Source organism: Homo sapiens, chromosome 4, assembly GCF_000001405.40.
Source record: "Homo sapiens chromosome 4, GRCh38.p14 Primary Assembly".
In the NCBI taxonomy this organism is placed as follows: Eukaryota; Metazoa; Chordata; class Mammalia; order Primates; family Hominidae; genus Homo; species Homo sapiens.
Window position 1 is genome coordinate 81,001,280 of NC_000004.12, and position 22,450 is coordinate 81,023,729.

The 22,450-nt window shown below is 39.6% G+C and overlaps 1 annotated feature.

The window, feature by feature from the left end:
• Positions 2,593-2,642: an enhancer, noted in NCBI's record as "active region_21656". NCBI's record gives its function as "activates an Ori minimal core promoter by ATAC-STARR-seq in GM12878 lymphoblastoid cells {active_cell/tissue: GM12878}" and the evidence as "EXISTENCE:reporter gene assay evidence [ECO:0000049][PMID:35858748]".

Sequence of the window (22,450 nt, forward strand, 5' to 3'; positions counted from 1 at the left end):
ATTCTAAAGGAATGTCTTAGTTTGTTCAGGTCACTATAGCCAAATATTTTATACTGGGTAATTTATAAATAACAGAAATTTATCTCTCATGGTTCTGGAGGCTGGGAAGTCCAAGATCAATGCACCAGTAGATTTTGCATCTGGTGAAGACTCTCTCTCTACTCCACAGATGATGCCTTATTGCCATGTCCTTACATGGCAGAAGAGGCCAAGGAGCTCCCTTTAACCTCTTTCATAACAATACTGATCCCACTTATGAGGGTGGAGGTCGTATGACTTAGTCCCTTCCCAAAAAGCCTCAGCTCTTAATACTATCACGTTGAGGATTAAGTTTCAACATATGAATTTTGGAGGGCCACAAATATTCAGGCCATAGCAAGGAGGATTATCAAATATGCATCTTATGCATAAGTTCTATGGTTATCACCTTGAAGGGCATGTATACAATACCAGACCTTCCAAGATTTTCCAGGAAAACTCCGATTTCAAACATCCTTCCCTGATGACCCAGTGAAATTATTGAGTGGCTGCTATATGCCATACAGAGCACGTTGCTGTTGGTCAAACTATGTGTCCTAAGTTTTCCTTTAAAAAATATGGTCAGAGTAGACTTAATTCTTCCACCACCAATGAATTTTCTGAGCATGGCCTTTCAAAATGTATCTGATAGAACATGGGCTTGAAGGAGTTAATTTCAAGAGTTCATGTATCTGAAACCAGGTTGTTTCAATTTTATTAGCTGTGTGATCTAGGAAATATTATTTAACCCCACTGAGCCGTAGTTTCCCCATCTGCAAAATGAATAATAATAGTGCCTACTACACTGGGTTGTAAAGATAAATTAATATGATAATAAATCTAAAGTTCTTGGAATAGCCCTTAACACATACTAAGTTTTCAATAAAAGTTAGCTCATTATTTTATCTAAACTATTAATCAATTTAATCAATGACTAGATGAGGCCTATACAGAGATATTGCCACTTTACCACAAAAAAAAATGGCTCTGTACAGTAAAAAGAATATTTACTTTTTACCAAAATCATGGACTTGTTGATATAATTTAACCCATTCCTGGGAAAATGTTTTCCTTTTTACCTTGCTTTTAATTTGTGATGTAACTACTGTTTTGTATAATAAGTACCTTTACAATGTGAGAAAATATTTTTGTCCGTGTCTTAGCCAATATTTTATTGCCTTAATAATTCACTCAAGAAAAACCTTGAGGATGGCAACATCATATCGTCCTTGTTATCTGTCTCATGCATATTCAAATGAGTGGAACTGCCTATTACACCAGGACCAAATTATTTCAAATATCATATCAAAGACATATTTGTTGCTGTGCTCTTTTCTGATTTGTCTATTATTAAACATTGATACATTATATCAAAAATAAGATATGTTATTGTTGATGTCTGATAAAAGGTTGAAGAATGTTTATGTGGCTTTTCTCAACTTGAGATGGAAAATACTTATATATGACTTATTTTTTCATCATTGTACAACCTAAATAGAAAAAATAACATGAAAAAGTATACAAGCAGGAAAATATGAGACCAATAAATAAGAATCCATTAATTCTTGAAAAAGTAAATGTCACTATAAGCAGTTATGAAGGCCCTGGCTGATTCTTGCAGAAAATCTGTTCTTATGGGTCCACTATAGGAAGGATAGATGAGATCACATGTGAGAATCAAAGTAGAGTTAATGCATTAAGGGGGCTGGGAAAAGAAAGGTTAGTTAAGACATCTGTAGAACGACTTTAAACCATACCTCTAACATAAGCACAACCCAGACATGCAGTTAACACTAAGCCTCACTCATGGTAGGAGTTCAAGAAATATTAGAGGATGAATGAATAAATGAATGAGCTTAATCCTGGACTACAAGAGGATAGAAAATGCAAAACAATTTATGATGTGTGGTGTGTATTTTTCAGTTTGTTGGTGGAAAAACAATCAGTTAACCTCCTTGAACCTTGATTTCTTCCCTAGAAAACTGGATTAATAATATTGTAATATAATAGTCCTTTCTACTTCCAAAGTATTATTGTGGCTTGCAAATTGGAATACTCTGAAATTTACAAATGATATACAAAATTAAATTGTTTTTATTTTACTTCCTTAAAAACAGTGAAAAGTCTTTGGTATGTCTTCACTGATTTTCTTACTCTCAATCTACTTGTACAGACCTAGAGGTGTAGGGATGAGGTTGAAGATAGAGTGGAAAAGAGAAACATGAGCATTAGTATACAAATTACAGTCTTCATCTTTTTCTGTGATGGTTCAGAGGGATTGCCTGGAGGTGTGAAGTGAGAGAAAGGAGTCATCATTATTTCTTTCTGTAAGTCAAGTACTGGATAGTTTATATGAAACAAGGTGTGGTGAGTCTCTGAGGAAAAAGGTGAGAGATAGCAGCCACAATCATAAGTTGAACAACAGTCATCACAGGTTCAAAGTGTGAAAAGCACAAGCGGTCAAGCCTGGCTATTTTAAGCTTCACTTGCACTCACAGCTGGCAATGTGTTAGAAATGCAGCCCCCTTCTGAAAGCAATGGGTGATGGAGGAGGGAGGGAGGAGAGATAACAGAAAGGGGAACCAGAATTTCCTGTGTTAAATATTAATTATATGTGGATGGTATTTTTTTAAACATACCCAGGCGTTGCTATTGAAATGCAAATGTGTGTTTATTGCCATGAGGGAGATGTTGTAAAAGGAAAAAAAAAAAAATAGACAATACCCAGAGCTGGAAATTGCCCCCTGGGCCAAGGGCAGATGTTGGGTAAGAACACAAACATGCAGGGAGGACAGGAAGAAGGGAGTAGGAACAAGAAAAAAAAAAAAAGGACCAGAAAGAAGTAGAAAAGGCCACCATGGACATCCCGGGAGAGCTGATTAAAAAGTCACAGCTGAGCCAAGCCTTTGTCACAAACCAAGAAAGAATTCTCAGGATTTAATGGGTAGAGTGGTCAACTAGTGAGAATTGAAAGGCTCTTCTCAACTGAAGTAAAAATGGTAAAAATTGATCTACGCCTCCTTAACAATTGGCAGCATAATGGTAAATGGCAGCAAACGGTAATAATTGATCTATGCTTCCTTAAGTTTTCTCAAGAGAAGCAAAAATAGTAAAAATTGGTTTATGCTGCTTTAGCAATATAAAATAACACTGCACCTGATGAGATAAGAACCAGATATTCCCTCTCCTTGTAGTGAAAAGTTGGGTTAGAAATAAAGCAGGCTTAGAAAACTCAAGTATGGAGCAGAAAAGTGGTATCACTGGAAATGCAATAGAAAAGAAAAATCACTGAATTGAGGTAATATTTACTGAAGAGATTTCCCATTAACCTTTCCTACTCACTGAATAATGGCAGAGAAGAAAACTGAAGATTTGCTAGCAATGGGCCTGGAGGAAATGAGGAAAAGCCAAATAATCACATGTCCCATTGTTTCATCACTTCCTCACTTTAAGACATCCTGAAATATGAATAAAAACAACATCTAGATATGCTTATAGACTACGACAAAATCAATCATCAACAAACCATTGCTATTTCTGGGAAGCTTAATGTATAAAGGCAAAGTGCTAAAGAAACTTAAATATGTGTAGATTGGATGGAAAGCAGAGCTAGAACTAAATTAATAGCTTCGTGTCTCCCACAGATACATAGTGCCTTTGTATGTGACTACATGTATGTCTGCATGAAGTATCATCGAACTATGTATTTCATTTAGAGATAAAACCAAGTCAAAGGGAATTTAAAATCAGTTTTCTTAATTGATTTGTTCAACCAAAACTTATGTATAAGTGCTTACTAATGTGCCACATGCAATTTTGTGTCCTAAGGATAAAGCAGTGAGCAAAAATGGACAGAGAGCATAAACTTTTTGGCCAGATCATAGAAATGCAAGAGTATTTGGGAGTCTCCCTGGAAGATCATTCCCTGAGTTGCCCAAGCCTTTTATTCTTAATTAGATGGGCAATGAGGAATCATTAAACGTGTTTTTCTCAGAGGAAAGGCAGAAGCAATTTATACTGCAGAAAGACGAATACATTAGCTATGTGCAAAATAGATGGGAGGGAGAATCAAGAATTTGGAAGGTTGGAAACCTATTTCTTGAAGTTGCTGCATTAACATAGTTATGAGGACAAAGGAAAATGAATTAGAGTGGTGTCAATGAGAGTATAAAACAAGCGATCAGATCTTTGTCAGAACTGGCAAAAGTTGGGGACAATTGCAGAGAGTAAGAGAGGAAGAAGGGAGCACAAAAAATTTAGTTAAGAAAGGCCACATGATAGAGGTCAATTTCCTAATAAAAGTGACCTAAATTATTCTAAGAATCACATAACACCAAGAAATCAGTAAGTTCATTAAGTTTTCCTTAAATTGAGGTAACTGATAAGACATGTCAGAATGCTCACAGCTCTCCAGGCACTGGGGTCAAGAGTGGGGCTTAGACTTCAATGTTACTTATCTTAAATTCATCAGTAAGATCCATAATGTTAACACACACTGCATTAGAGCTAACAGTTTGTTTTACAATTGATGGAGATGCCCTTCATCACTCCTTAAAAAAAGTAAGTGTTGGAGGAAAAAAACATATTTGAGAATGACCTCTTTTTTAATCAATAAGGACATGAACTCACCTCCTTTCACAGAAGAGAAAATCTTCATTTTTTTTCCTCTAATGCCAACATGCCACACACTAGTTATGTGGCTTGGATAAGAAAGGCAACACGCTATGGTTAAACACACACTAAAACTGAGAACTTAGGTAACATTCATTCATTCATTCATTCATTCAATAAGCCTTCCTTGAACATCCTCTTCATGCTAGGAACCATTCATGACCCTGTAGGGAAGACAGAGAAAATAACTTCAGGTGATAATAGTGAAAAATGAGACAACACAGTATATTAAGAGTGCAACTGAGGAACACAGGAAAGCTACTTTTGGCTATGGAAATTTCATGAAGGGAGTAAAATCTGAACCCCTTCTCAAGGGTTGAGCAGGAGTTTGCCATATGTATCCACCAAGGATGACTTTCCCAGTAGAAAGAACTGAGCCGCCATCAGCTCACTAAATCCCACTGGGTTGGCATTTAAATGTTGTCTTTTGAAACCAATCTTGTAAATCTTAAATGCAAAAGTATTTCCTTCCAAAGAATAAAATATACATTTTGAGAAGAGATTAAGAGAGTTGAGGATGGTAGAAATTACTGTCTTTGGGATACATTAATAAGACATTTTATGAAAGCATAAAAGAGTTGAGAAAGAATCACATTTTCCACATTGATAGTTAAGTAATGTGGACAAATAAAGGACGTGTTTAGATAGCAGCCTATAAATTCAATATTTTTACAATGTACATGAGTTTTTACAGTTTTCTTCAATGGTTAATTCTTGTTTGTTTTACTGAAAAGCCCTTAATAATCTTAATTTTTTGAGTGCACAATTCAAGAATTCTGTTCAATTGTAGGGACATTTAAAAGCTTACTGATCTATCATTGTTTCAATCAATTATTAGAAGTGGAGCAGTAAGAGTTTGTCTTTTGAAATGGTAATTACTTGATTCTATACCACAATTCACAGTAAATGTATTAAGAAATAGTTTTTATTACATGTCCTTCAACTATAAAATTCTTAAAATACTATAATTTCTTTAAGATGTAGGTTATACCATGTATTTTTAAGGATACCTTTTAAAAATGATGTATTGAAACAACATAGTTGGATTTGCACTAAATGATCTCTAAATTAGAATGATACAGCAGTCTTGAAAGAAAAAAAACAATCAAACTGCAATTTTCTGATCTTCATTAATCCATTCAATGCTCTTATGAAATAGAAGCAATTCTTATTATTCAAAATAGTTACATCTATAAAGTCACCATGAACACTGAATTAACAAATACTAAATCATTGCTCCTGAGGGAAAAATAAGAATAGGTTCCTGGGAGCCTCTGGCCACAATAATTTTATCAACCAATCAATGTAAAACCTTGCTTTATGTGTGTTTTTGTTTAAAGACACCTTATATAATCTATATTATTGATTCATTTACATTGAACTAATGGCCCACATTACTGTAATGGCTGATTGAAGCTTATATGACATATGTACTTTCTCCATATGGCACACCACAGCCTTCTTGTGCTTAAGAACACTAGACAGTACTTCAGCCCATGCTTGGGGACCATCGTAAACAGTGAAATTACCAACAAAAGTACACAAAATGTGAAAAACATGTCACTCAGTAGACTGTGGAAAGGACAGTTCTTTTTAGTATGAGAACTGAAATAAGAAGCCAGAGTTGCCTTGTTTATCCTCAGCTGGGAATGTGCAGATTAGGTGACTCACATTTTTTCACTCCATGCATGTTCAAGAATGACTGCAAAAGTGCCCCAGTATTGATTTGGAGGATACCAATAAATTTTAGCTAGTAGGTTGAATTTGCAAACACGGAGTCTTCAAAGAATGAAAATTTTGACTACAGTTATTATTACTAATATTTAGTAAGGAAACAGAGACTCAGAAAGCATACATAATTCACACAAAGATATCCAGCTAGGAAATGGCTAGTTGAATAATTATTCAAACCTAGCCTCATGTAAGGACATTAGCCTTAACTCATTTTTCCAAATAGTGTGACAGAAGGATTAGGAACACAGGTTCTGGAACCTGAGTGTCTGAGTTCCAGTGTTAATGGTACCATTTATTAGCTGTTTGACCTTGAAATATAAGTTAACTCCTCTGATATGATTTGGCTGTGTCCCCACCCAAATTTCATCTTGAATTGTAGTTCCCATAATCCCCACATGTCATGGGAAGGACCAGATGGAGATAATTGAATCATAGGGGTGGTTTCCCCCATCCTGTTCTCCTGATAGTGAGTTAGTTTTCATGAGATCTGATGGTTTTATAAAGGACTTCTCCCATAGCTGGGCACTCATTTCTCTCTCCTGCTACCATGTGAAGAAGGACATGTTTGCTTCCCTTTCTTCCATGATTGTAAGTTTCCTGAGGCCTCCCCAGCTATGTGGAACTGTGAGTCAATTAAACTTCTTTTCTTTATGAATTATCCAGTCTCAGGCAGTTCTTTATAGTAGAGTGAGACCAGACTAATAAAGTAAATTGGTACCAGGTATTGGGGCACTGCTGTAAAGATACACAAAAATGTGGACGTGACTTTGGAACTGGGTAACAGTAAGAGATTGGAATCATTTGGAGGGCTCAGAAGAAGGCAGGAAAATGTGGGAAAGTTGAAACTTCCTTGACTTGGAGGGCTCAGAAGACAGGAAGATATGGGAAAGTTTGGAACTTCCTGGAAACCTGTTGAAAGGCTTTGACCAAATTGCTGATACTGATATGAACAATAAAGTCTGGGTTGAGGTCATCTCAGATGGAGATGAGAAACTTATTGGGAACTGGAGTGAAGGTCATTCTTGCTATGCAAAGAGACTGGTGGCATTTTGCCCCTGCCTTAGAGATCTGTGGAACTTTGAACTTGAGAGAGATAATTTAGAGTATCTGGTGGAAGAAATTTCTAAGCAGCAAAGCGTTCAAAAGGAAGCAGAGCAAAAATGTTTGGAAAATTTGCAGCTTGGTGATGTGATAGAAAAAAAAAACATTTTTCTGGGGAGAAATTCAAGCCCCCTGCAGAAATTTGCATAAGTAACAAGGGCAAGACAATGGGAAAATGTCTCCAGGGCATGTCAGAGACCTTGATGGCAGCCCCTCTCATCACAGGCCCAGAGGCCTAAGAGAGATAAAATGGTATTCTGGGGCAGGACCAGGGCCCCCCCTGCTGTGTGGACCTTGGGGACTTGGTACCCTGCATCCCAGCTGCTCCATCCATGGCTAAAATTGGCCAAGGTACAGCTCAGGTTGTTGTTTCAGAGAGTGCAAGCCCCAAGCCTTGGCAGCTTCCACATGGTGTTGGATCAGCAGCTGTACAGAAGGCAAGAACTGAGGTTTGGGAATTTCTGCTTAGGTTTCAGAGGATGTATGGAAATGCCTGCATGTCCAGGCAGAATTCTGCTGCAGGGGCAGAGCCCTCAAGGAGAACCTTTGCTAGGGCAGTGCAGAGGGAAATATGGGGAGGGAGCCCCCACACAGAGTTCCCACTGGGGCACTGCCTAGTGTAGCTGTGAGATGAGGACCACCATCCTCCAGACACCAGAATGGTAGATACACCTACAACTTGCACTGTGCATCTGGAAAAGACACAGACACTTAATGCCAGTCATGAAAGCAGCCAGGAGTGGGGCTGTACCCTGCAAAGCTAGAGGGCGGAACTGCCCAAGGTCATGGGATCCCACCTCTTGTATCAGTGTGACCTGGATATGAGACATGGAGTCAAAAGAGATAATTTGGGAACCTTATGGGTTAATGACTGTGCTTTTGGATTTCAGCCTTGCATGGGGCCTGTAGCCCCTTTGATTTGGCCAATTTCTCCCATTTGGAATGGGTGTATTTACCTAATACCTGTACCTCCATTGTATCTAGGAAGTAACTAACTTGCTTTTGATTTTACAGGCTAATAGGCAGAAGAAACTTGCCTTGTCTCACATGAGACTTTGGACTTGGACTTTTGGGTTAATGCTGGAATGAGTTCAGACTTTGGGGAACTGTTGGAAGGGCATGATTGTGTTTTGAATTCTGAGGACATGAGATTTAGGGAGGGTTCAGGGGTGGAATGATGTGATTTGACTGTTTCCCCACCAAAATCTCATCTTAAATTGTAATTCCCATAATCCCCATGTGTTAGGGGAGGGACTAAATGGAGATAACTCAACCATGAGGCAATTTCCCTTGTCCTGTTCTCATGATAGTGAGTTAGTTCTCACAAGATCTGATGGTTTTATAAGGGGTTTCCCTCTTCGCTGGGCACTCATTTCTCTCTTCTGCTGCTGTGTGAAAAAGAACATGTTTGCTTCCTTTTCTGCCATGATTGTAAGTTTCCTGAGGCCTCCCCAGCCCTATGGAACTGTGAGTCAATTAAACCTATTTCCTTTATCAATTACCCAGTCTCAGGCAGTCCTTTTTAGCAGTGTGAGAATGAACTAATATACCCTCCAAGCCTATTTATGTTAACAGGTTAAATGGAGACAGTAACAATCACTACATAATTGGAAGATTATGAGGATTAAATAAATGATGCCTATAAAGTGACTACCACAGTGCTTAGCATACAAAAGTGCCCAGTGGATGTTAACTACCTAAACTGTCTATTATTCTGTCTGTAGCCACTATATGTTGAATACCAACTGAATCAAACACTGAGCCAGGAAAGTGATATTTTACATACTCTTTCCCAACAACCTATGACAAGGGTAAAAACATTTTATAGAGAAGAAGGGGAATCAGGGAGTTGTTAATCAAAGATTACATAGTTTCACTTATGCAAGATGAATAAATCCAAGCAATTTGGATTTATTCATTGGAATAAATCCAAGCAATGTACTGTATAGCACAGTGCATACAATTAACAATATGGTATTGTTTACTTAAATATTGTTAAGAAGGCTTTAGGACATTGGTCTAAGCAAAGATTTTATGTCTAAGACTTCAAAACTGCAGGCAACCAAAACAAAAATAGACAAATTGAACTATACTAAACTTACAAGCATCTGCACAGCAAAGGTAACAATCCACAGAGTAAAGAGACAATCTGTAGAATGGGAGGAAATGTTTGCAAACTATTCATCCAACCAGGGATTTATGTCCAAAATAAACAAGGAACTTAACAGCAAAAAAAAAGAAAAAAAAGTCAGATTAAAAAGTAGGCCAAGACTCTGAATAGATATTTATCTAAAGAAGACATATAAACGGCCAAGAAGTATATGAAGAAAAGCCCAACATCGCTAATCATCAGGGTAATATAAATCAAAACCACAACAAGAGATAATCCCATTCCAGTTAGAATGACTGTGATATGGTTTGGATATGTTTCCCCACTCAAATCTCATCTTGAATTGTACTCCCATAATTCCCACAGGTTGTGAGAGGGACCTGGTGGGAGATAATTCAATCCTGGGGGTGGTTTCCCCCATATTGTTCTTATGATAGTGAGTAAGTCTCACGAGATGTGATGGTTTTATCAGGGGTTTCTGCTTTTGCATCTTCCTCATTCTCTCTTTGCCTGATGCCATCCATGTAAGACATGACTTGTCCCTCCTTGCCTTCCACCATGATTGTGAAGCCTCCCCAGCCACGTGGAACTGTAAGTCCAGTGAAACCTCTTTCTTTTATAAATTGCCCAGTCTTGGGTATGTCTTTATCAGCAGCATGAAAACAGAATAATAGAGTAAATTGGTACCAGTAGAGTGGAGCGTTGCTGAAGAGACACCCAAAAGTGTGGACGCGACTTTGGAACTCAGTAACAGGCAGAGGTTGAAACAGTTTGGAAGGCTCAGTAGAAGACAGGAAAATGTGGGAAAGTTTGGAACTTTCTAGAGACTTATTGAATGGCTTTGTTCAAAGTATTGATAGCAATATGAACAGTAAGGCCCAGGTTGAGGTGTTCTCAGATGGACATGAGGAACTTGTTAGGACCTGGAACAAAGATGACTCTTGTTATGTTTTAGCAAAGAGACTGGCAGCATTTTGCCCTACCCTAGAGATTTGTGGAACTTTGAACTTGAGAGAGATGATTTAGGGTATCTGGTGGAAGAAATGTCTAAGCAGCAAAGCATTCAAAAGGTGACTTGGAGGCTGTTAAAAGCATTCAGTTTTATAAGGGAAACTGAGCATAAAAGCTTGAAAAATGTGCAGCCTGATGATGTGATAGAAAATAAAATCGAATTTTCTAAGGAGAAATTCAAGCTGGCTGTAGAAATTTGCAAAAGTAACCAGGAGCCAAATGTTAATCCCTAAGACAATGGGGAAAGTGTCTCCAGTGGATGTCAGAGGTCTTCCTGGCAGCCTCTCCCATCACAGGCCTGGAGACCAAGGAGGAAAAAGTGGTTTTGTGGACGGGGCCCAGCGACCCAAGCTATGTGCAACCTAGGGACTTGGTGCCCTGCATCCTAGCTGCTCCAGCTGTGGCTGAAAGGGGCCAACATAGACATCAGGCCATGGCTTCAGAGGGCGCAAGCCACGCGCCTTGGCAGTTTCCATGTGGTGTTGAGCCTGTGGGGGCACAGAAGTCAAGAATTGAGGTTTGGGACCCTCTGCCTAGATTTCCAAAGATGTATGGAAATGCCTGGATGCCCAGGCAGAAGTTTGCTGCAAGGGCAGGACTCTCATGGTGAACCTCTGCTAGGGCAAGGCAAAAGGGAAATGTGGGGTTGGAGCCCCACACAGAGTCCCTACTGGAGCACTGCCTAGTGGAGCTGTGAGAAGAGGGCCACCGTCCTCCAGACCCCAGAATGGTAGATCCACCTACAGATTGCACCATGCACCTGGAAGAGCCACAGACACTCAATGCCAGACTGTGAAAGCAGCCAGGAAGGAGGCTGTACCCTGTAAAGCCACAGGTGCAGAGCTGCCCAATACCATGGGAACCTACTTCTTGCATCAGCATGAACTGGATGTGAGACATGGAATAAAAGGAGATCATTTTGGAGATTTAAGATTTGACTGCTGAGCTGGATTTCAGACTTGCATGGCCCCTGTACCCCTTTGTTTTGGCCAATTTCTCCCATTTGGAATGGTTGTATTTACCCAATGCCTGTACCCCATTGTATCTAGGACATAAATAGCTTGCTTTTGATTTTACAGGCTCATAGGCAGAAGGGACTTGCCTTGTCTCAGATGAGACTTTGGACTGTGGACTTTTGAGTTAATGCTGAAATGAGCTAAGACTTTAGGTGACCGTTGGGAAGACATGGTTAGTTTTGAAATGTGAGGACATGAGATTTGGCAGGGGCCAAGGGCTGAATCATATGGTTTGGCCATGTGTACCCACCCAAATCTTATCTTGAATTACACTCTCATAATTACCAAGTTTGTGAGAGGGACCTGGTGGGAGATAATTGAATCATGGGGGCGGTTCCCCCAAACTGTGTTTGTGGTAGTGAACAAGTCTAATGATATCTGATGATTTTATCAGGGGTTTCTGCTTTGCATCTTCCTCATTCTCTCTTTGCCTGCTGCCATCCATGTAAAATGAGACTTGCTCCTCCTTGCCTTCTGCCATGATTGTGTGGCTTCCTCAGCCATGTGGAACTGTAAGTCCAATTAAACCTCTTTCTTTTGTAAATTGCCCAATCCTGAGTATCTCTTTATCAGCAGCATGAAAATTAACTAATACAGGCTGCTATCAGAAAGACAAAAAATAAATTCAGGTGAGGACACAGAGAAAAGAGAACTCTTATATATTGTTGGTGAGAATTTAAATTAATTAGTATAGACATGGAAAAGCATGGAGTTTTCTCAAAAATCTAAAAAGTAGAACTACCATACAATCCAGCAATCCTACTCCTGGATGCTTATCCAAAGGGAAAAAAAGTCAGTTTATTGAAGAGACACGTATGCTCCCACATTTATATCAGCACTGTTCACACACAATAGCTAAAATATGGAATCTACCTAAATGTTCATCAATGAACTAATGGATAAAGAAAATGTAGTGTATATACACAACAAAATTGTACTCCACCAGGAATCCTCTATAATGTGAATAGACATTGTCTAATCAGCTAAAGATCTTAAAAGCAAAGACTGAGGCTTCCTGAGGAAGAAGAAATTCTGTCTGAAGACAGCAACATATAAATGTTTACTGTTTCCATCCTGCAAACCTGCCCTACAGATCTCAGATGTGCCAGTTCCCATAGCCGCATGAGCCACGTTATTAAAATAAATCTCTTTAGATAGGTAGGTAGATTAGATAGATGACTGGTAGATGATAGATAGATGATAGATGATAGATAGATAGATAGATAGATAGATAGATAGATAGATAGATACATAGATAGATAGATCAATCTAAAGAGAAATAGATATCTCTATCTGTGTGTTTGTGTATGTGGCCTATTGGTTCTGTTTCTCTGGAAAACCTTGACAAATACAGTGACCAACTATCCTGGTTTGCCCAGGAAAGAGGGGTTGTGTGGGACAGGAACATTTCAGTGATAAGATCAGGATAGTCATGATCAAACCAGGACAAGTTGCTCACACTAAGTGGTTATTTTCTGCAGCAAATTGCCTGGTGTAAAGGAACATTATGTACATAGGTTTTCAGGATCGTTCCAATTATTTCTGGAACAAGTGATCCAACCAATCACAAGTCAAATGATATTAACTTAGCACTACACTAGGTTTTGCGTGTGTATGTGTACCAATGATGTGAAAGCAAGGTAGTTCCAGAAGCTTCACAACACCGCAAAATGGAAAAACTGTCCCTATTAAACAATTACTCTCTCCCACTCCAAGATTTGCCTATTCTGCATATTTGATATAAGTTAAATTTTTAAAATGTGGCCTTTGTGATCAAGGAAAAACTGAACACAAATGTTCATAGCAGCTTTATTTGTAATAGCCAAAACATGGAAACATGCCAAATGTCCATCAACATTTGAGTATTGATGAAGAGATAAATAAAACTTGGTATATCCATACAAGGAATCATATTTGACAATGAAAGGAATAAGTGCTGATACATGCTACAACATGAATGAACCTTGAAAACATCATAATAAATGTACAAGATTTTACAAAGGAGTACACAGAAAAAATTTTTTTAAAAAAACTTAATGTTCCTTCTGGACCACATGGCAAATTTTGCCAAAGTTCTTTCCTAACTATGTAGTTTCCCTATATTAGCGTTACTCTCCATGTACTGATCTTTTTAGAAACCACCTAAGAACTCTATTTCATTTCCAAAGGAAGCTTAGAAATGTAGGAGAATGGCTTTATTAATTTTATCTTCCAAATATCCAAATAATATTATATACAAGTATGCACACTTGTTGTGGAGTGTTAATTAGGACAAAGAAGTCAGGTTGGCGGGACAAAGGCAAAGCAAAAGAGAAAGCAGATAAGCTACAATTCTGCCTTCCTTTATGTATGGTTCAGGACACATAGCCCAGCTGTGCAAATAATTCACAATCTTCCTGCACCCAGATATCAATAGACCCCAGGCTGACAGAAAAATGCAAGTTAGCTCACTGCAACCTTGGCATTATTAGTGCTGCACAAAGCCCTCTTCAGCACACAGCACAAGCACCATTCTATAAAATCCCCAGAAAGGCTTCGTTTCCTGACAGCTCCTTTCTTGCTGATGTGCCCATTGCACCCTTGCAACATATTTTCACACTTTCTCTAATAAATCTGCCTGTCTTTACCTACAACTGAGTCTCGGCAATTTGCAAAAGAAAGAGAGGTTTAATGGACACAGTTCCATGTGGCTGGTGAGGCCTCACAATTAAGGTGGAAGGCAAGGAGTAGTAAGTCACATCTTACACAGATGGAAGCAGGCAAAGAGAGAGCTTCTGCAGGGAAACTCCCTCATATAAAACCATCAGATCTTGTGAGACTTATTCACTATCATGAGAACAGCAGGGGAAAGACCTGCCGCCATGATTCAATTAACTCCCACCAGGTCCATCCCACAACACATGGGAATTCAAGATGAGATTTGGGTGGGGACAGAGCCAAACCATATGATTCCACTCCTGGCCCCTCCCAAGTCTCATGTCCTCACATTTCAAACCCAACCATGCCTTCCTAACAGTCCCCCAAAGTCTTAACTTATTTCAGCATTAACTCAAAAGTCCAAGTCCAATGTCTCATCTGAGACAAGGCGTCTCTTTTGCCTATGAGCCTGTAAAATCAAAAGTAAGTTAGTTACTTCCTAGATACAACAGTGGTACAGGCACTGGGTAAATACACCCATTCCAAATGGGAGAAATTGGCCAAAACAAAGGGGCTACTAGCCCCACTCTAGTTCAAAATCCAGTGGAGCAGTCAAATCTTAAAGCTCCAAAATGATCTCCTTTTATTCCATGTCTCATATCCAGTTCATGCTGATGCAAGAGGTAGGTTCCCATGGTCTTGGGCAGCTCTGCCCCTGTGGCTTTGCAGGGTACAGCCTCCCTCCTGGCTGCTTTCACAGTCTGGCATTGAGTGTCTGTGGCTGTTCCAGGTGCATGGTGCAAGCTGTAGATCTACCATTCTGGGGTCTAGAAGATGGTGGCCCTCTTCTCACAGCTCCACTAGGCAGTGCCCAGTAGGAACTTTGTGTGGGGTCTCTGATCCCACATTTCTCTTGTGCAATGCCCTAGCATAGGTTCTCCATGAAAGCCCTGCCCCTGCAGCAAACTTCTGCCTGGACATCCAAGCATTTCCATACATCTTCTGAAATCTAGGCAGAGGGTCCCAAACCTCAATTCTTGACTTCTGTGCCCCCACAGGCTCAACACCACATGGAAGCTGCCAAGGTGTGGGGCTTGCACCCTCTGAAGCCACAGCCTGAGCTGTACCTTGGCCCACTTTAGTCACAAAGGGAGCAGCTGAGACACAGACCACCAAGTCCCTAGACTGCACTCAGCACGGGGACCCTTGGCCCGGCCCACAAAACTACTTTTTTCTTCTTGACCTCTCAGCCTGTAATGGGAGGAGCTGCCACAAAGACCTTTGACATATCCTGGAGACATTTTCCCCATTGTCTTGGGGATTAACTTTCAGCTCCTTGTTACTTATGCAAATTTCTACAGCCAGCTTGAATTTCTCCTTAGAAAATGGAATTTTCTTTTCTATCACATTGTCAGGCTGCAAATTTTTCAAACTTTTATGCTCTGCTTCCCTTATAAAACTGAATGCCTTTAATAGCCCCCAAGTCACCTCTTGAATGCTTTGCTGCTTAGAATGTTTCCACCAGATACCCTAAATCATCTCTCTCAAGTTCAAAGTTTCACAAATCTCTAGCACAGGGGCAAAATGCCACCACTCTCTTTGCTAAAACATAACAAGAGTTACCTCTACTCCAGTTCCCAACAAGTTCTTCATCTCTATCTGAGACCACCTCAGCCTGGACTTTGTCGTCCATATCACTTTCAGCATTTTGGTCAAAGCCATTCAACAAGTCTCTAGGAAATTCAAAACTTTCCCACATTTTCCTGTATTCTTCTGAACCCTCCAAACTGTTTCAACCTCTTCCTGTTACCCAGTTCCAAAGTCGCTTCCACATTTTTGGGTATCTTTTCAGCAGCACCCCACTCTACTGGTACCAATTTGCTGTATTAGTCTGTTTTCATGCTGCTAATAAAGACACACCTGAGACTGGGAAGAAAAAGATGTTTAATGGACTTACAGTTCCACATGGCTGGGGAGGACTCATAGTCATGGCAGAAGGCAAAGGGGAGAAAGTCATGTCTTACATGGATGACGGCAGGCAAAGAGAGAGAGTTTTTGCAGGGGAACTCTTCTTTTTCACATCATCAGATCTCATGAGACTTATTCACTGTTGTGAAAACAGCACGCAAAAACCCGCCCCCATGATTAAAATACCCCTCACTGGGTCCCTCCCACAACACGTAGGAACTGTGGGAGTTACAATTCTTGATGAGATTTGAGTAGGGACACAGCCAAACGACATTACCACCCATGCCAGTGGCCCATATAGTCTCTGATCACCTACAACACTTGTGGTGTGTGTTTGGGGGCTGGGGCGGGGGTGTGGCAGAGAAGGAGAAAGAGAGAGAGAGAGAGATACATAAAGAAACTAAGTCTTAGGGAAAATCGGTAAATTACCCAAAATCATAATTTAGATACGGGCAAAGCTAGGGCTCTGATCTGATACCTAAGCCCATTCTGTTATGTGTATGACATGTACAAAACCATTAACACTCATTTCATTAAGCAGCAAATCAGAGGAGGGAAATTCAAATTTAAGTATGAAGTCTAATAGAAGGATGAGTACAATCAAGTGGGCTCAGTCAAGGAGATCATAATTTCATGTCAAGCATGTAGTGTATTTCCAGTAATGTGGCACATTGAATTAAAAGCTTGCCTGAAGGAATTGAGTTTTGGGCAAAACTTTATAGAATCAAGGAACACATTAGGAGAGAGAATGAGGGAAAGGGATTCAGAGTTTAAATCATTTATTCATGCATTCAACAACTATTTCTTGAACAGCTACCATGTACCAGATGCTTCTCATAGTACTGAGGCAGAAACTGTCCTCAGAGTCATGGAGTTTACCCTACAGAGTAGGTAGGTTACTAGCAGCAAATAAAATAGATGTATTGAATTTATGGGAAAAAAATGAAAATGGAAGTAAATTTGATGGAGGGGATTCACAGAAACCCTTGAATTCTAGACTGGGAAGTTCAAATGTTAAATGCATTAGGCCCTGGAGTGTCAACATAGATTCCTGAACAAGTATGAAGTGAAAGGCCATCCTTGGCTCTTCTAGTCCTATCTCTATATGTGGAAAGAGACAAGGGATACAAACAAGTACCATCCCTTAACCAGAATGAATATGAGTATGTCCTGCCAATGAAGAGTAGGATAACAGTGATATCTGTGGAAGTGGAAAAGAAGGCCTTCCCACCTTTTCACAGGATTTTTTAAAAATCCCTACCCAGACTGACTTTGAGCCAGGCTTAGCTATGCATTCAGATATTACTCTCAGATAAAACATGCTATAAAACACCTGTGTTAGGTAATAAAAGGCAACAACATTTCCTTTGTATCAAGACTTAATCTATATTTTTCAATATCTCATAGGACTTCTATCATGGCCAGGTAAGTAGATGCAGATAGGTCCACCTCTCTGCACAACTGGAGATAACTACTTCCACAAAATAACGCCAGTATGATGCTACTTAGATTCCATTTACAATCCTGCAATAAAACCAATAATAACACTTTGTACTTATGAACTGCCTCACACTGAAAATCTCAAATGTTTTATAGACCATAAATTCTCCCAACACCCTTCATGAGAAAAAGAATTACTCTCTCCATTTAACAGGTAAACTAGAAACTAGCATAGAGGAAGAACTTGCCCAAGGCCACTGAGGTAAGACAGAGTCCACTTGTTCTGGAGGCTCTAGCAGGGCTGCTTCTCAGCAAAGTGGTGAGGAAGGCAGTACTTTATATTGCATGCTGTTTCTGCTTCCCTTTTTTTTGTTCTCTACCAAATTTTGGCAATTGTCCTAAGTTTCTCTTAAGGTATTAACTGATACCACTTGATAATGCTCAAGGTGTTAGCCTTCCCAGGGATATCTACATTTTATTAGGGGACTCTTTTTTTTTTTTTTATTATACTTTAAGTTTTAAGGTACATGTGCACATTGTGCAGGTTAGTTACATATGTATACATGTGCCATGCTGGTGCGCTGCACCCACCAACGTGTCATCTATCATTAGGTATATCTCCCACTGCTATCCCTCCCCCCTCCCCCGACCCCACCACAGTCCCCAGAGTGTGATATTCCCCTTCCTGTGTCCTTGTGATCTCATTGTTCAATTCCCACCTATGAGTGAGAATATGCGGTGTTTGGTTTTTTGTTCTTGCGATAGTTTACTGAGAATGATGGTTTCCAATTTCATCCATGTCCCTACAAAGGACATGAACTCATCATTTCTTATGGCTGCATAGTATTCCATGGTGTATATGTGCCACATTTTCTGGTTGAATGTCAAGAACCAAAGAAAGGACCTGTTGAATTGCTGATGGAAAGACTGCTCCCTTCTCATAACTCACAAAGGGTCCTGCCCTGGGGGCCATTAATTCCTGTACCCTGCCACCATAGAGACCATCCCCAGAAAGAAACTTCCTCTCCTACTACATCAGTCAGTACCCTGAGGTTTTGCTTTGTTTCAAGGGCTAAAGTGGAAACAAAAGGAATTACCTTTATGCCCAGAACTACCTGACATCAGGATGGGTCTGGTTCTGTCTGAGCCATCTCTATATTAGGAGGGGGCGGGATCCCTAAACACATTTTGTAGTTCCATTCTTTGTGCCTAAATATTGTTGTTAGTAAGTGAATTGTTTCCTGGCATTTCCTGGGACTACAAACACTGCCACCAGGTGGGATTTCTTTCACCTAACAGGAGAGACATTTACCATGGCATTTCCAAGGAGATCAACATTTGAAATCTCTTCCTACCTGAGGGCTGGAGGGAAATGGAACAATCTGAAACCACCTGGAAAAGGCCTGGTTGCCCACTGCCCTTTCTTGGGACTTGTATCTGACTTCCTGAATTAATTTTAAGTAGCTAGTCTACTACTTATGATTCAAGAGAAAAGTGGGAACTAGGAACTCAGGGACGGAGGTTTGCTGTAGGATTACTTGCATGTCTATTATGGCATCCATCACTTAAATGATCTGGAGAAAGTGGTCACACATTATGAGCAAGTGCTGAATGTAGAGAGAAAAAAATTGTAGATGTTGTTCTTTTTTCTTTTTTAACCAATCATCACTGAAAGAAAAATAGTGCTGCCTTTCTTCTAAAAAGAAAGCAAATTTCTGCTAGCAACATGTAGTTCCTCTGTATAGCTCCTGTTGAGGCTATTGAGGTCTAGAATATGGCCAGCTTAAAAATTAAAAAAAAAAAAGGAAGCCTCTTTTCATTTTTCTGCCATCTTAGATGACAGAATTAGGATATCACTAATTGTTCTTCAATATTCTTCTTTCAACTACTTTCCTAAAGGGTATTTACTGAATACCTAGTGTAGGCAAAAAGCTCTCCAAGTGCTATGCATGAATCTTGTCCTTAGAACACTGCATTCTAGCTGGGTATGGTGGTGAGCACTGGTAGTCTCAGCTACTTGGGAGGCTGAAGTGGGAGGAACCCCAGAAGTTAGAGGCTGCAGGAGGCTATGATGGAGCGACGGCACTCCAGCCTGGGTGACAGAGAGCCCATCTCTAAAAATTTTAAAAAGCTACATTCTAAATAGAGATACAAACGTACTCAAATGCCCATTTAATATTGTTATTTAACTTCTCATATGTTTATATATCAAATCATAATAAGGAATGAAATCTGAAAGTCACTGATCTGGAGAGGATTAACATTTTGGTTTTGGTTGTGTGTCATATTACCAGGAAATTTGCTCTAGAATGTTTTAAAGCAAGAACAACTGTCACAAGACAGCAAGAGATTCCTTGGGGGTATTCCTTGTCAGTGCCTAGGACTCCAAAAATACATCATGAACTAGCTACAAAGATAATCACAAATCTCTATTTGATTATTTGCATTTCCTTGAAAACATGTAATTCATTAAAATGTATTGCATACTTAGTATAGATGTGGTATTACAAAAATAGAAAAGCAGCAGCCCTTGGTCTTGCTTAGGATCTGTCAGCTTCCATTCTATTTTCATTCCTGTCCAGTCAAATCCTTCTCAGTTCGCCCAGCACTACCCAGACACTCCTGCTCTGTTTACAGCTCAGCAATAGTTACCAGGATTGACAACATAGATACTTGAAATATTTATATAGCATTTATGCAATCACTTTTCATTGCCCAGTAAAAGAACTGGTTTGCAGAGCTTGGCTCATAGCCAGAGTCATCTCGATCTTAATTTTATAAGGCAAGAATTTACTCCAGAGTTCAAAAATTGAAAAACAGGGTGGAGGAGTTGTTGGTAGGTGATCATTTGTGGTCAAAGAAAGCTGTTTGCTTTTTCGTGGGCAGATATCCAGGGGCAGTTTTAAACTACTTCCTTCAAGGAAGAAACGCCAGAAAAACACCTGGAAACCCCGAAGCACATGTAAAGAGTAAAATTAGTCCCCAGTGGTGATATTTATCATTTCTACACCCCCATCTGTCCATATTTTTACAGCATTCATCACCATACCTAAGCAACTTTAATTGATCCTGTTAAGGTTTTACATGGGTCATCTGAGCAGCTACACCTGGAAATTTGTAGGGTGAAAAGGCAGATGCCAGCAACCATGCTAATGAATGAATCTCTGAGTTGCTGAGGTGACAAATGAGATCACCTCCTTTAAGTGCCTTTCAGCTCCAGATACTGGAAGGTCAGTAACCTCTTCAATCCACAGTCCCATTGCCAAGATCTCCTGGACTGCGTTTAAGGGTAGGATTGGTGGGAAAGAAGAGGGATGAGAGGAGGAAGAATTAAGAAAGTGGAAGATGATAAAGAGAGGAGTGAACCCTAGAGCCAGACAGGGGAGAAGGAAAGAGGTTGCTGCGTGTATTTCAGCATTGGCAGCTAATCTTTACCTATGGGGGCTTGGAGACATGACCACCTGGGAGAAAATGACTATAGAAAAATGAATGGAAATATTCAATGCATTGTGAAGGGCACAAGTGCCAGGGCAAGCAATAAATTTGTTACATTCTTAGAAACTCAATTCACAAAACAATCACCAAAGGAATTAAGTAAAAAAAGAGAGAGAAGTTTTAAGAAGAAAACAATTTTTAAAGTAACAACTTTTCCCAAAAGACAAAAATCAGACTGGTAAACCACTGTATACAGAAATGGCTGATAAGACCAAGAGAAAGAAAACTGCTGGTAAAAAGAAGGGCTTTCTGAAGCCATAAGAATTTAAACACAAATTACAGAGGAAGGATGCCAGCTGAACTGCCTGCAGAAAGAAACAGATTAGGACAGTGGGTAGCATTCCACAGAGCAGAGCCTGTAGGCTGCACGTGGGAAACAGTACAAAGGGCACCTGAACAGACTCTCCAAATATCAAATCACAAGAAATAAATCAACAGCCTGTGCAAGGAAAACCTTCAAGGTGGGCTTGCAAAATTTGTCATGCTGTGACTCAAAATAGTCTACCTCTTTTTTTTTTTTTTTGGTGTGGGGAGGCATAGTGATAAATTCTCATAGCATCATTATCAGTAGAAATTTTGAGTAAAAGTGGAATTGAAGAATACAAAGGAAAATATGACTATGTTAATTACTTATAAAACCGTAGTGTGGGCCAGACATGGTGGCTCATGCCTGTAATCCCAGCACTTTGGGAGGCCGAGACGGGTGGATCACATGAGGTCAGGAGTTTGAGACCAGCCTGACCAATGTAGTGAAACACTGTCTCTACTAAAAATACAAAAATATTAGCTGGGTGTGGTGGTGCATGCATTTAATTCCAGCTACTCAGGAGGCTGAGGCAGGAGAATTGCTTGAACCCAAGAGGCAGAGGTTGCAGTGAGCTGAGATCATGCCATTGCACTCCTGCCTGGGCAACAAGAGGAAAACTCTATCTCTAAAAAAATAAAAAAATAAAAAAATCTTAGTGTGCCTGTTGTTCTGATATATTAATATGAACGAGGATATAAAGCAGCATAAAAAGGGATTCCTGCTCCCATAATACAATTTCTTTATTTTTAATTAAATAGAAAAAATCAAAATGCTTTATATGATTATAAAGATATAATCACACAGAAATATTCTATGCTCTTGGCATAGAAAACAGGCCACTGGGAAGATATATCTCAAAATGCTAATTTTGGCTTTGTTTGGGTCCTGTGACTATGGGTGATGCAAAAATACATAAAACACAGTTTCTGCCCTTAAGGAGCT